Source organism: Homo sapiens, chromosome 17 (genome assembly GCF_000001405.40).
Source record: "Homo sapiens chromosome 17, GRCh38.p14 Primary Assembly".
Classification (NCBI taxonomy): Eukaryota; Metazoa; Chordata; class Mammalia; order Primates; family Hominidae; genus Homo; species Homo sapiens.
In genome coordinates, this window is record NC_000017.11 from 37,170,133 (window position 1) to 37,186,442 (window position 16,310).

General features: G+C 38.6%; 1 protein-coding gene across 26 annotated transcripts in view; it reads right to left on the reverse strand.

Annotated features, from left to right (window-relative positions):
* The window catches only part of ACACA (acetyl-CoA carboxylase alpha), a 321,845-nt gene that overhangs the window by 85,141 nt on the left and 220,394 nt on the right, over positions 1–16,310 (reverse strand). For all 26 annotated transcript variants that reach the window (XM_011524701.2, XM_006721853.2, NM_198834.3 and 23 more), the window contains 2 exons: positions 11,069–11,224; positions 9,128–9,274 (listed from right to left, as the gene is read on the reverse strand). In XM_011524701.2, coding sequence (XP_011523003.1) covers positions 9,128–9,274; positions 11,069–11,224 — 303 coding nt within the window. The remainder of the gene's footprint in view (positions 1–9,127; positions 9,275–11,068; positions 11,225–16,310) is intronic.

Genomic DNA, 16,310 nt, shown 5'->3' on the forward strand with positions numbered 1-16,310 from the left:
TAGGGTTATCAACCTAAGCTGATTATCTTAAAGTGAAAAAGGGAAGAGGATGAAAAGAGCTACAGTGAATAAGCTAAGGATAAGCAGAAATAAATATTTGTTTCCCTTATACAAGTTCTAAGGCAGAACATATTTCTTTGGCTACATTCTGATTCTGGAATGAACAGCTCAAGTGAGGGAGGAGGGGATGGGAAGGAGAAAGCAAGCAGAAGAGAACAGTCTTATTTAACTGTTTTTATGTGGGTAAAATGATTTGTGCCACAGTATTTCCATAAGAAGTGGGACCATTATTTTCCTGTAGAAACACATTTGGTTTGAAAAGTATCACTGGACAGGACGTGAAAATCAAACCAAATGAATTATTCACAACCTCCGATCAGAGGTGATCATTATTTCTGATGCTCCAAACAGTGATTAGGATTCTGCCCTGAGATGTCATTTTCTCGCTGAGTAACACCAGCGATACAGAAAGGCATTATCTATCTATCCATATATGTATTTTTTCTGCTGGGAGGACCTTGGTTTAATGTTACTATAACAGATAGTGAAAACATGATAATATTAACATTTATTCTGATGGTGCCCATAAATGCCATTAGTCTGACACAAAGTGTCAACACTAATCATGACCCAAAATTAACACCAAAATTGACATCAACATTAATTGTACTATCAATGTGAATAGAATGTGCAAGCACACACAGGCACTTCCCAAAGCTGCTGTTGTTACTACAAAATAAAACAACAATATTAAGCTCAACAAAGAAATTTGCAGGAAAAGCTAAGGGCAAAACATGCCAGGATTTTGTTTTTTAAGGGTGAAAGACATATCCATCAACTCTAGCTATGCTGTGGGAAGCAGAAAGAGAATATCTTTGCCACAGCTGCCTTTCTTACATCTCCACACTTTGACTTGAGCTCTAACAATACCTTTCCATACAGATTTAAATACAGGTTAGGCTGTGGCTGAGATGTTGAAGCTGTATTCGTTATATTCATGCTAAAAGCCTTGCTATATTCATGCTAAAATGATCTTGAGTTTTTTTTGGAAGAGTCTGTAAAACCTATTGTTCTAATTCTGCTAATGCCAGGAAGATGACTACCCTGCAAGGCCCTTGAGCAGCAATACAAAGAATCCAAGCATGTTAGCGCTAACCCAGACTTGGGCATCATCTGCATCATAAAGATGAGAAAACTAAGATCCAGAGAGCAGGAATCTGAACTTGAGTCCCTTCTCAGATATATAACAAAATGTTACCTCTTTCCCCCTTTTGTATCTTGTATCCAAGCATGAAAAAAAGAGTTTTTCAGCTCTTAAGAAAATTATTTTGAGCTCCTTCACATGATCACAGAACACTAAATAATAGAACATTGATATCTGGCAAATAATACAATATGGAAAGGCATTGACATATTTTTCAGCATGGCTTTTCCAAATGGCACAAATTAAGTCAAATATTGTATTTTAAGCCTTATGGCTTACTTCAAAAATGGCTGAACAAACTCACCTCAACCTCTCTAAACAGCGATAAAAGGGTAAGAAAAATATAACTTAGAGCAAAAAATTTTCATCCCAGAGGTAATTCTTTGAAAATGTTATCAAAGATTAGAAATAACAATTTTGAACAGGGAAATTATTTCTCCCTGTAACATTTATATACATGAAACCACAGTAATTTTACACATGTACACACAGTAATTTAATAAGCATAGGAATTATTTTTTAACAAACATGCAGTGGAGCACATAGAAGCCAGCGGTATTTGAGAAATGGGGCCCAGGATTAATTGGTTGGTATGGAAATTAACCAAGTTGGCCTACTATAGTCCCAGAAGCCTTGTCCATTAATCATACGAATGAGTGCTGAACTCTGGTGCCCCCCGCTACTCCTCATTCTCTGGTGTCATCTGTTGCTGTCCTGATGTTCATTATTGCCTCTGGTTGGAGCTGTAAAGTTTCTTGACATAGGGTACTATGTCACATTCTTTTTCAGTAAAATCTTACAACTTAAGACAGGTATAAATATGCTGGCAAGTACATTCTTTTGTTTGAAGGCTATCTCTAGACTTATTTTTGAAAGAAACTGAGGAGCCCTCCACAAGTACTACTTTAGTGAGCCAGTGGATGCATTAGGATTTTCAAAGTCAATCAAGGTTACTGAGCCTCATTTTGCTATCAAAAAAATGAGTAAAAACTACTCAACCTGATGAGAAATCTCCAACACCAATAATAGTCATTCAGAAGGAATTCTGAGAAAAGTATATACATCCCAAAAGAACAGTGTCAGAAATTCATTAGAAGTAATTCCATGGTAGGAAGACTTATTTTTCAAAATTAGCCTCCATATTTTTCTAATGAGGGATCCAAGTTTGGTTTGGAAGATCATTTTAGACAAAGACTTGCAGCCAAATATACTTACTTAGAATGGGAATAAAAGAACAAAAACATAGAATTAACATAAAATTATCTTACCATATATGCCATAATATATCTTTCTCTATACTTAATCTCAAGGATTCAAAATTGATTTTTCAAAGCCTTGATGAAAAATAAGGCAAGCACAAATTATGAATACTTATGTATAATCATAATCATTTATGGATAATCATAATTATACATAATCATATGTATTTGACCCTTTTCTGCTGAGGATCCCAAAGCACTTATAAACATTCTCCTATCTTTAGGGACAGATTAATGGCAAAGACCCTTTTTATAAGTTGAACAATCAATGCATAGACCATGGTCCTGTTTTACAGACCCGCTTCGCTTAGGTCTATTTCAGAACTCACCTTCAGCATAGTACAATTTAAATATGCCTCTTTTCTAACACATATCTAAAAGACTGACACTGACTCAATTTCTATACACAGCATGAAAAGGCAAACTGATTTCAAAAGAATGAAACAAAAGCAAGGTAAAGTACATCCAAATTAGCATCACATTCATGGAGCTATTTTGAGGTTAAATTGAGTAAAACAATTTAAAAAATCTAATGTTAAATATTTGGGTCCTGTGTTCATGAGAAATGGCCTACCCTTTTCTCACCACCAAAACCCGTAAGCATATACACACTCTCTACAGGCAGAGTTTTAGAACATAATGCTTTCCACTAGAATCTGAGTCCAGGATAACCCAAGCAATTCCTTTGAGGGTATGGAAAATGTCAACCAAGTGAATTAAGACAGAGGGTTATGGTGGTTTTTCTAAAATAAGAGGTCCTTTGGGTTAAGAGGTCCAGCCTAAGAACTGTCAAAATGGATCTACTAATTAATTTCTTCTAATCTTTTAGGCTTATATAAGCTTACCAACTTCCTTTCCCTACCAACTCCTAAATTGTTTTTTTGATACTCAAATTAGAGATTCAAAGGATTATAGTAACATGTAAGTGAGGAGCCCAGTCAAAATGGTAAGATTTGTTTAAGCTGGTCAGTAGATGCAGGGGTATTTGTCATATCACTGTGTATTTTTTTATATGTTTAAAATAAAAAAATTAATGAGATGCTATACTTTGGGAGACATAGGATATCAGTACATTGCCAACAATTAAAACAATAATTAAATATGGGTATTAGTTGGGCTAGCAGTTCTAAAACTGAACCCCTAATCCCCACTGTCCCTACCATTTCACCCCTGAGAACATAAAGCAGGACTAAAACCAAAATACCAGTCATGATGGCAGCTAGTCTTTTTTTTTTTCAGCCAGAGTCTCACTCTGTCGCCCAGGCTGGAGTGCAGTCGTGCGATCTTGGCTCGCTGCATCCTCCACCTCCTGGGCTCAAGAGATTCCTGTGCCTCAGTCTCCTGAGTAGCTGGGATTACAGGCGCCTGCCAACACGCCTGGCTAATTTATATATATATATATATATATATATATATATATATATATTTTTTTTTTTTTTTTTTTTTGTAGCGATAGGGTTTTGCCATGTTGGCCAGGCTGGTCTCAAACTCCTGGCGTCAAGTGATCCGCCGACCTTGGTCTCCCAAAGTGTTGGGATTACAGGCATGCGCCACCGCGCCTGGCTGTCAGCTAGTCTTTAAACTTTAATTTACACTACTTTATTTCCTCTTCAATCATCCTCTTCTTTAAAAAAAAAAAATAGATCCCTAATGCAAGGTTCAAAGGATCTTCAACCAAAGAGTTAAAATTGCAATTGCTTATTGCAGGAACACTAGGTAAAGGCTACTATACCAACTGAAAAAAGAAGGACACCAGTGAATCTGCCTCAACAAACAAGGCCACTCACAAGGCTCATGTGAATGCTAAGCTGCTGAGAAGGAAAAACCCTGACACCTAGCGCCCATCTGAAAAAATGAAGGCTCAGAGCTACCACAATTCTTAAGAGTGGTAGTGTGTGTAGAGGTGACCATCAAATTGCATTCAATTTTTTTTTCTTTTTCTTTTTCTTTTTTTTTGAGACGGAGTCTCACTCTGTAACCAGGCTTGAGTGCAGTGGCGCGATCTCGGCTCACTGCAACCTCTGCCTCCCGGGTTCAAGCGATTCTCCTGCCTCAGCCTGCCAAGTAGCTGGGACTACAGGCACCCGCCACCACGCCTGGCTAATTTTTGTATTTTTAGTAGAGACAGGGTTTCACCATGTGGGCCAGGATGGTCTCGATCTCTTGACCTCATGATCTGCCCGCCTCAGCCTCCCAAAGTGCTGGGATTACAGGTATAAGCCACCACGCCTGGCCCCAGTTGCATTCAATTTTCAATATACTTTCCTCCCAGAAAAACTTTTATACCAAGAATTCCAGTCTCTGAATACCAACCCCTTTTTTGGATATACATCTTGTACCTAATTATTATAACTGCTTCCAAATACAACATCGCAACATCGTCTTCTCATCTCAGTTTCTCATTATGACAGGCATGATGAGACAGAATGTTAAAAAGCTGCCCATGTTCTGATATGGTAAGAAAAACAGGGTCCTAATTTCTACTAGCACTAAAGTTACTATGGTAGTTGACTCTCTAACATATCTTTCAGCATTGCCCACTTTAGAGATTACTGGTCTAGTTCGCAGAGCTGATAAAAAGAAATAAAATAAAAGAATGCTAGTAACTTATTTCAGAATAAACAAGAGCATAGTCTCAAGAAGGCTAGGATTTTCTTTGTCCTACCAGGCAAAGTTAAGTTGTTCTCTGTCAAGTCCGTTACAGCCCTTGGCTTGATCTTAGCCTGAGCTTTTTAATAACAGGATTTAGTGCGAAAAGCAGCTGTACTGGATTGCGAACTGTTACTCAAAATGTCCCCACCTGCAATTATAGCTTCCACCAAAAGATCAAAACAGGTTAGTAAACTGGCAGGAAAATGAAAACAATTCCTCCAAAATTGAGAAGTGGTAAAGCAGAACTGTTGGATAGCTGCATTTCTTCTGTATCCAGGCTCAACAGCACACATTCATCTAGCTGTGTATTTACATACAGTGCCCATCACTGTACCAACACAGCAGCTAGAAATGAGATCCGTTTAGTCTATGCTGCAATCACATTTTCCTCAATTTTCATCTTTACTTGAAACTATTAAGAAAAATCTTGGACAACTCATCTTTGGAGCTATCTGCAAGTAACGTAGTTCACAGATTTAGTCTACATCTTTTTTATTCCTACTCTAAAGTCATACTAAATGTAATGCCATTCAAATATGACAATGAGAAAAATGTGTTCTCCTATACCTTTCATCATGCATTAGGTGGTACTCCTTTAGTTACATCTTTCTTTATGGGGAAGGGACAACTAGGAAAATAGAAAGGAGACAGTAGCTAATACAGCATCAGAAAAGCTCTGTCTCCTGCTCTAAACACAGGCATAAATGTTCAAAATGCAGGTCACATCTCTACTGAAACAGCCAATATTCCTCCTCAAATGGCAAAGAAGTTACCTAAAACTAAATGGAACTGAATTGGTCCAAGTCCTGGTCCCATCACCTTTTTACCTATTTACTGTCCTGGAAAAAAAAATTAGAAAGACTGGCCACCCATACAGCCAATGGTCTGATAAGTGCAGGTTTTCTGCCTTCGATCATGGAGAAAAGCACCTCAATTCATGGGAAAACTCTGAAGGAATCTCTCATTTTACCCTTACTCCTTACATCCATGTGCTAGTTTTCAAACTCAGAAACTCCAATCCTTGAAGGTAATGCAATACCACCCACAATGATGACCTGGTAGAGCCGTCACTTTTGGAGAACACCACATTATGATGATTTAATGTCTACATAGCACCAATGCATTTACATTGAGCCTTGGCTTTCAGAACATTAACAGGTCAATTTTTTATTCTTTTGTAATAAAACTATTTCTCAAGGCTCTGTCCAGATGCCCATTCTCTTTGGGACAGGACAGATTTACTCCAAATCTCATCAGCATGAGCTCTGTTCATTCCCTTCACATCATTCTTGGGGTAATATGTAGAGTGCCAGGCTCATGACAAACTTGCTCTTTGGCCAAAGAAAATTAAACCGCAATAGCTGAAAGTCAACTTGCCCTGATAAAACTGGGCTCAGCACGAGGAAATACATCCTACTGACACTTTGTCATCTCTTAGGCACAGCTGTCCCTCAGAGTTCTGACTGCTGAAACTCCATCCTTAGATTGGTCAGTCTCTCAGTGGACATGCTCCATTGTATGTTCAAGCTATTGGTAGCAGAGTTTGATACTAACACCCCAACCTCATTCCTGTTGTGCAGTGCCCTATAATCTAGCTAAGGCCAATGACTGACTTCACCAGCCATCCTGGGCATTAGTCACTAACTGCTCACAAAAGAACATCAGTCTAACTCCTCCCAAGCTCAAAGGCTCAGAAACAGCAAGCTAACACTCAGCCTCAATCCTAGTCAATCATTTGAAAAGAAAAACAGAACAAAGAAAATAGGCAACTAAGGAGGGAAAACTGTAGAACAAGAAGAAAGTGAGAACTGACAAAAACTCAAAATCTTTTGAAGAAATACTATTCACTTTCTGGTTTCAAAACTATTAAAGCACTGGACAAAGGAAAACATGTGGCTCCTATACTAGATCTACTACTAGTCATAGCTATAGTCCTATGCAACTGTTTAAGACATATCTTTTCCACTAAGGTTTGTTAGGTCTTAAAGGGGTTAAAAAAAACCTTTAATTTTTAAAAAATTCGTGTGTGTGTGTGTGTGTGTGTGTGTGTGTGTGGTCTTTGGGTACAGAGGCCCGTATAATAAGACTATTTGTATTCATACTGGCAGAGTAAACACTACATGTTCATGCCCAGGCAGCTCTGTGCTTGTAATTTCAGCAAGAACAGAGCTCTGTCCCTCTGGGACTTCACTATTCCCTGAGTCTCCATTCGCTCAAACACAGAATGAGGGCAGAAAGAAAGCAGGAAAGAAAGATCATGGCAAGGGGTTTCACACAGCACTGCAGCTAGCTTTCACGTGGCCAAAAATCTCATTTTGTGTTTTAATTACATTAGTTAAAACCATTTTGCTCTCAGCCCCATGTTCACAAGGGTGCCTTCCATTCCTGAAGACTACACTGTTCAATGAATCAGAATTTAAGTCTAGCACAATGAAGCTTTTCTTTGCTGCTGAGGGGCTCACTAGGCAGATGCTACATACAGTGGCAGAAACCTCTGTTTCAACTTCGTGTGCTGATGAGTATATATCTATGCTTGTCAAAATGTTTTGCATCCTTCCACCCCAGTCCTCTTGACTTTGCTATTTGTTGAGACTCCTACAAGTCTGATACTCTCCATCTGGTCCAATGCTTGCATCCATCTTGATACCAAATCATCTACTGTTGGCATCCACTGGCATATTACTGAAATAGCCACACACCTTGTATATATAGTGAAATTTTTTGAAAAAGATTGAGCAAAATAGAAACAAACTGCTTATTATTTCCAAAGGTCTACCCAGCCTATTTGTGGTGAAAACACAGGTAAAGATTACTCCTTCAATGGAATGAAATCTTTCTAGGGATTATATTTAAGGTTGAAATAAAAATATCTCTCTTTTTAGGTTTGTTACTGGTATTATCATTGTTATAACTGTACATTAGGAGCACAGTTAAAATCAGAAAGAATCATAATGCATGGACAAGAGTATAAGAGTATAGGGCAAAATAGGACTTTATATCACTATTCATAGGTTACTCTGAGAGAAAGGATGCCAAGGCTAGAAAATGCATTCTTGGGATAATTATCAAAAAATGGGTTCTTTGCTACATTTTTTATGTTTGAACCCCTAATTCTGATTGAGCCCCTTCAAGAACACATTTATCATGCTCACAACAGCACCAGATCAAATGAATTGAGCATGGAGAAGACACTGAAAAATGCATTTATTAATATGAATCCAAATAAGAAAAAACATTAAGCAAAACAATACTTTAAATGTTTTCATTATAGAAAATCCTGGCTGGGCACAATGGTGCACACCTAAAATCCCAGCACTTTTCGGGGCTGAGGCAGGCAGATTGCTTGAGCTCAGGAGCTTGAGACCAACATGGTGAAACCCCATCTCAAGAAAAAAATACAAAAATTAGCCAAGTGTAGTGGTGCACACCTGTAGTACCAGCTACTCAGGAGGCTGAGGTGAGAGGATCACTTGAGACATGGAGGTCAAGGCTGCAGTGAGCTGAGATTGAGCCACTGCACTCCAGCCTGTGTGACAGAGCGAGACACCATCTCAAAAAAAGAAAAAAGAAAAAAAGAAAATCCCCAAATTTCACACATAGACAAAAACAGGGAAAATAATCTATTTTCATGTACCTATCACCTAGCTTCAATGATCAACTCACGACCAACCCTGTTTCATCTACACACCCACCCTCACACCTCTTTATTTAGAAGCAAATCATTGCATCTGTAAATGTCTTAGTCTGTATCTCTAAAAGAAAACAATATTCCTTTTTATTTTTTTAAAACTGAGTCCTTTGTGTTAAAACAATACTATTTTAAAAAGCAAAATCATAATACCATTATCACACCTAAAAAATTAATAATTTCTTGATACTCAGTCAATGCTCTCTCTAAAGAACTCTCCCAACAAGACTACCATGCTCCAGTGCTATTTAATGACCACCTCACAGAAAGCTGGTACTAGTGGGCACAGAGATAAGAAAGGGAAGGGGGGTTTCAACTACTTGCCTCATTTCCTCCTGGAAGCCTGTTCATGTGGACCAGCTGACCTTGATCATCCAGTACCAGTTCAGTGTAAGTCAGCATGTCAGAAGGCAGAGGGGGAGATGGAAGAAATGCTTGAGTGGACATAGACTCCCAGAGTTTGATCAGGGACTAGTGGAGAAAAGAAGTTTGACTAATCAGTCACAATAATTTCAATATAGACAAAAATAATTATTAAGATTCAGTCAATCTGGTTTTGCCTTCTTTTCCAAGTGTTCTGCAGAGTGTAAACATTAGACTAAATTCTCCAGCTCCCATTCTCAGTTAAAATAGATTTGTAATTACTTTTTACATGCCAAAAGTCAGGCACTTTTCCAAAAAGTCAAACTACTGAGTGATTCCAAATCAGCACCAGAGCATTAACAAACAGGAAAGACCTAACACTATCCTAGGAATATTAAAATTAAAAAACTAAATAAGTAGCATCGACTCCTTAAAACAAAGAAAAGGAAAATCCTAAAGAAACTTGACAACAAAGGAATATCCAGGAAAATGACATGACGCTCAGCTAATAAAAAGAAAATCCAAGAAGGCCAGAATGAAGCTTCTACTAGAAATTCCAGGGAAGAAACCTCTTTCTAATATTTTTCATAGCTATAGGACCACACACAGGAATTAGCTCACTAGATGTGTGTGACTATTTGTAAATGTGCAGATCAATTCTGCTCAATTTTGACACAGACATACCAATTCATTTAAAAAATATTATGATTTCCATTTCCAACTTCCTGTAAGTAAATCCTTTGTGAAGTGGGAGCTAATTCAGCTCTTTCTTTGCTTGCCTCAAAGCAACATTTGAATCCCAAGTGACTCATACATACCTATGTGTCCTAATCACTGTGTTTATGCCTATTATATAGGAAGAATTACTTAGAATGTGATTTATATTATATTTATATAGAATGTGATTTATATTATATTTATAGCACTGGCATTGGGAAACAGAAGTAACACTCAGCTTTTAGGCTAGCAATGCTATAAAAGGGAAATACCGAATGAAGGTATCTTTCAGGAGACAGAACTTGTAAACAAATGGTTGCATAAAGGTAATCTCTTGTATTTGTGAATAACACAGGAATTCTACACAGACTATTTACTACGGCTACATATATTACTTTACTAAAATTCAAATGTGGTAATACTGGTAGTATTGACTAGGAGACTTGGAAAAATCCTATATTCATAGATTTTTTTAAAAAGGACAAATTCAGTATTCTTTTGATACCTTATTCTTTACTGGTTGCATTTTCTACTGGTGATACACTTTTCTTGCCTTCTATTGATAGAAGAAAAATCTGCAGCATAGAGATGATTCACCATACAGATTGAAAGAATTTGTTTTCATATAGAGGCTGAGATTCATAATGTCATATTTTCTCATGCTAGTTTTTATTCAGCTATAACAAATCTCCCACAAAAGAACTTATACTCTAAACTGTGTACCATGAACTCTATATCCATTTGTCTATGCTATCTATATTGATTCTCATCATATTAATCTAGGGTATCAACTAGGAACCAGGTTTATATTGGAAAATGAGAACTAAAGTATCAGATCTCCTTTTTAATATCCATAATTTGAATATAGACTTGGGAAATACACAGGTAACTCTTCACACAAGTCACTGTAAACTATCACCACAAGAACATAACCTTAGTTTACTCTCTCCTGTCTCCTACTCAATAGAGACTTCTATTCTCACCATTCCTCTCATTAATTCATAAAGAACCATCCAATATCTGAGTTGGCAGTCACCAATCCTCAAATGAAATAGAAATGAAAACAGTGTCAAGATATTTCTTGCCCTTTGGAGTGCCCCCTTCTAGCCAAAACCGCATCTGATGGAAATTCAGGGAAACCTTGCCTCCTTAGAACATGTCAGACCCTCCAGTTAGGCATCTTACCTGCCGAAACATCTCTGGGATATCATATATGTATGTTGTCCCTAAGGATTGTGCCTGGAACCTCTTTGATTGCAGCAGGTCTTTGGTCACATATGGAGTATTGATTAACATTCCATGCAGTGGTCCCTGTTTGTCTCCATATGCCTGAAACATGATCTGCAGGAAAAAAAAATGGCATGGGGAGTTAAGAGACAGAAAAAAATCAGAGAGCTGCCTAGAGGGGCTTTTTTTGCACAAATATTATCTCTTTGAAAACATTTTTGGTAGGTTGAGTAGCTGAGATATGCCTCTTAACACTGGGTACTTGGTGCTCTCACCTCTCCACAGATTAACCAACTCCAAAAAATATATATATATAACCAGCCATATACCATAACTGCTCTCACTTTTAGATTAGTTGAAATCAACAAGAAAGAAGGCCAGGCGCAGTGGCTCACGCCTGTAATCCCAGCACTTTGGGAGGCCAAGGCGGGAGGATCATGAGGTCAGGAGATCGAGACCATCCTGGCTAACATGGTGAAACCTTGTCTCTACTGAAAATACAAAAACATTAGCTGGGCGTGGTGGTGGGCGCCTGTAGTCCCAGCTACTCGGGAGGCTGAGGCAGGAGAATGGCGTGAACCCAGGAGGTGGAGCTTGCAGTGAGCCAAGATTGCGCCACTGCACTCCAGCCTGGGCAACAGAGCAAGACTCTGTATCCAAAAAAAAAAAAAAAAAAAAAAAAAAAAGGAAATAAACAAGAAAGCACGGTGCACATTTCGCATCTCAAAGACAGACTGACCATGCTAGCCATCTAAAGTGAGTTGAATCTCATATACTCAGAAATGAAGTACATCAACTAACCAGTCTGAGCAGCCCTGGTATTGAAGTTGAAGAACAGCTATGCAGTAAAGATAATTCTCTTCTTTCCTCAATGGCAGAAGGCCAGATCAAGACTCTAGTATATCATCTGTGCTTTAGTCCTTTAACCCACTTGATTAGATGGTACTTCATAAGTATTACTAGCTATGCAAAGGCTTCAAAGATTTCTGCCAGAAGTGGATTTCATCCATCCATCTAGATAGTTAATTCTCACTAGCCCATGAGACACAGCCTCATATTTTACATATAGTAAAATAACCATATTATATTAAATTATGTATATTAAAAAACATATATATATATATACATGTATTTACTTCTCCTCAAGATGCTGTCTACAACTAGTGAATAGCTCCTGCAATACCTATATTGTCACATAATGAAATCACTACACTGGTTTTTAATCATTTTAACTCAAATATTTCTAGAGGAGTGCTTCATACTCCATATATTTAGATAGTTTTATTTGCTTATGAATATTTATAAAGGATGCCATTATTTCAATTCAATTAATATTTATTGAGTGCCCAGAGGTTGTATAACACTAAACTAGGCACTTCATGCATGGATACATAAAATATAAATTCCCAGTGCAGTGAATACAAATGGAGATTGGGATGTAAGGGTATGTGTATACCTACATATCTATTCAGACCTACAAAATAAGCACAAGTCTACCATTAATGAATAGATTGTGGACCTGATATATATGCACAGGAATAGAATTAAGTACCTTCCTAAATCGTGGGTACAGTTCATCTGTAAATCCTTAGCCCCTTAGCTCAGAGGAATGAATGTTCTGCTAATTTGTCAATCAGGTCCTGTTCTGGGGAAAACATGTCTCAGGCTGTTTTAAAGACCCAGAGATTGGAGCTCCCAGTCCTCTTCCACAAGATCAATAGGAAAAGTCACCCGGGGGGAAGCAGAATTAGTAATGTCTTAGGAATGTGTCAGTAAAAGCAATAATGTTTTAAGAGATTCAAAGTGTTAAGTAAGGCAAGGGTACAGTATGAGAAAACTGTACTCAGAGCAAGTAAGCTGAATCAAAATAAGAAAATGGGGTAAACGCAGCAGGTTCCTAGAACTACATTTCTCGTCTGTTAAGAGAGACAAGACCTTGAGACTCGGTTTGGCCAAGCTTTGTGATGAAGACAGGCTGGTCATAGTTAAGCAACATAATTGTGCACTGAGGAAGGGGATTGGAGAAAACAATCTAGCTACATATGTATATTGCTGGCAGAAATTTAAATGGTACAAATATTTTGGCAGTTTGTCAATATCTTATAAAGTTAAGCATATGCTTACTGTGTCCCAGCAATTACACTTTTACGTATTTACCCAAAGGAAATAAAAATATATCTACACAAAGATTTGTAAATGAATGTTCACAGCAGCTTTATTACTACTAATAGCTCAAACTAGGAAATAAAACCCCAAATGTCCATCAACAGGTTATCTTGGAAAATTAGACAATGAGAACTAGAGGGCCGGGCGCAGTGGCTCACGCCTGCAATCCCAGCGCTTTGGGAGGCCAAAGCAGGCAGATCACGAGGTCAGGAGATCGAGACCATCCTGGCTAACACGGTGAAACCCCGTCTCTACTAAAAATACAAAAAAAAGGCTGAGGCAGGAGAATGGTGTGAACCCGGGAGGTAGAACTTGCAGTGTTGCAGTGAGCCGAGATCGTGCTACTGCACTCCAGCCTGGGCGTCAGAGTGAGACTCCATCTCAAAAGGAAAAAAAAAAAAGAAAGAAAGAAAAGAAAATGAGAACTAGAGTTTCAGTCCTTTTTTTTTTTTTTTTTTTTGGAGACGGAGTTTCACTCTTGTTGCCCAGGCTGGAGTGCAATGGTGCGATCTCGGCTCACCACAACCTCTGCCTCCTGGGTTCAAGTAATTCTCCTGTCTCAGCCTCCCGAGTAGCTGGGATTACAGGCATGCGCCACCACGCCCAGCTAATTTTGTATTTTTAGTAGAGATGGAGTTTCTCCATATTGGTCAGACTGGTCTCAAACTCCTAACCTCAGCTGATTTGCCCACCTCGGCCTCCCAAAGTGCTGGGATTACAGGTGTGAGCCACCATGCCCAGCCAGTCTTTTTTAATATCCATAATTTGAATATGGACTTAGGAAATATACATGTAACTCCTCACACAAATCGTTGTAAACTATCATCACAAGCATGTGGTCTTAGTTTACTCTCTCCTACTCAATAGAGACTTCTATTCTCATCATTCCTCCCATTAATTCATAAAGAACCATCTAATATCTGAGTTGGCAGTCACCCATCCCCAAATGAAATAGAAATGAAAACAGTGTCAAGATATTGCCTGCCCTTTGGGGGTGCCCCTTGCTAGTCAAAGCTATATCTGATGGAAACTCTGGAAAGCCTTGTTTCCTTGGAACATGTCAGAGCTCCCAGTTAGTCACCTTACCTGCCAAAACATATCTGTGAATATAAACATTTTGATAAATGAATGTAAAAATTTCGATAAATCCATTAAATGGGGCTGGGCATGGCAGCTTACACCTGTAATCCCAGCACTTTGGGAGGCCAAGGTGGGAGGGTCCCATGAATCCAGGAGTTTGAGACAAGCCTGGGCAACATTGTGGGACCCTGTCTCTAAAAAAATTTAAAAACTAGCTGGGCATGGTGGTAGACGCCTTTAGTCCCAGCTACTTAGGAGGCTGAGGTGGAAGGACTGCTTGAGCCAAGGAGGTCGAGGCTGTGGTCAGCTATGATTACAATATTGCACTCTAGCTTGGGCAAGATAGTGAGACCCTGTCTCAAAAAAAAAAAAAAAAAATCCATGAAACGGAATACTATCCAAAAATGAAAAGGAACATACACATAATCTATGCAACATGGCTGAACCTCAAAAACATTATGCTGAGTAAAATAAGCTAGACACAAAATAGTACACACTGTTTGATTTAAATTCTAGGATAGGCAAAACTAATCTATAGTAACAGAAAGCAGATCAGTGGTTGCCTAAGGCCGGGGTTGGTGCTTCTACCTTTGACTGCAAAGGCGAATAAGAGAACTTTCTGCAGTGATGTATCTACCACAACTGTGATAGTACTTACACGGTGTATACATTTGACAGAATGAATTGAACTGCACACACAAAACGAGTCCATTTTATTATAAGTAAATTGCACTTCAATAAAGGTGTTATTTATTATTTTTAGAGGCAGTGTCTCACTCTCTCGCCCAGGCTGGAGTGTGGTGTCACAATCATAGCTCATTGCAGCCTCAAACTCCGGGGCCCAAGTGATACTTCTGCCTCAGCCTCCTGAGTAGTTGGTACTACAGGTGCATGACACCATGCCTGGCTATTTCTTTTTTTTTTTTTTTTTTTTTTTTTTTTGGTAGAGACAGGGTCTTGCCTTGTTGAGCTGGCTAGTGTCAAACTCCTGGGCTCATGTGATCCTCCCACCTTGGTCTCCCAAAGTGCTGGGATTACAGGTATGAGCCACCATGCCCAGCCCAAAGATGATTTTAAAATGTTATTTTTCTTTTTTTTGAGACGGATTCTTGCTCCATTGCCCAGGTTAGAGCACAGTGGCACGATCTCAGCTCACTACAACCTCCGCCTCCCGGGTTCTAGCAATTCTCCTGTCTCAGCCTCCTGAGTAGCTGGGACTACAGGCCCCTGCCACCACTCCCGGCTAATTTTTGTATTTTTAGTAGAGACAGGCTTTCACCTTGTTGGTCAGGCTGGTCTCGAACTCCTGACCTCAGGTGATCCATCTGCCTTGGCCTCCCAAAGTGCTGGGATTACAGGCGTGAGTCACTGCGCCCAGCCTAAAATGTTATTTTTCTCTTACACTGCACATTGGAAATCAATTCACTTATGCAATGGATTACCCAAATCTCTTCTCCCCATTATGACTGCCTGACATCAGTGTTCATTACAGCCTATACTACAAAGACTGTACAAGGAAAATGAAAAATAAAACTCAAGCCAATCAACCTTGTTCCTTATTGGCAGAATGAATAAATGATGTGCTAGGGCAAGAGGCTGATAGTAATAGGAGTTCCTGAATACTCAACTATCTATGTTAGTTCCATTTTCTACTATAATGAACGCAGTAACTAAAAACTGTAAAGTATATGTTTTAGAAGTTCATGAAAATATGTACACATTTTATATATCACACACCTTTCACCAGAAGCCATCAAAATTATTTTAGAAAATAATTTCTGACCCATAGTCTGCTCCCTTAGAACACTGTATTTATTTATAATAGCACATATTTGCCACAGAGAAACAAATCATTTGTCTTCTTCCATTGTGATGTAAATTTCTTGAGTACAGTTTGCTTTTTCTCTTTATACGCATAGTGCCTGACATACTATAAGTAGTCAATCAATATTAA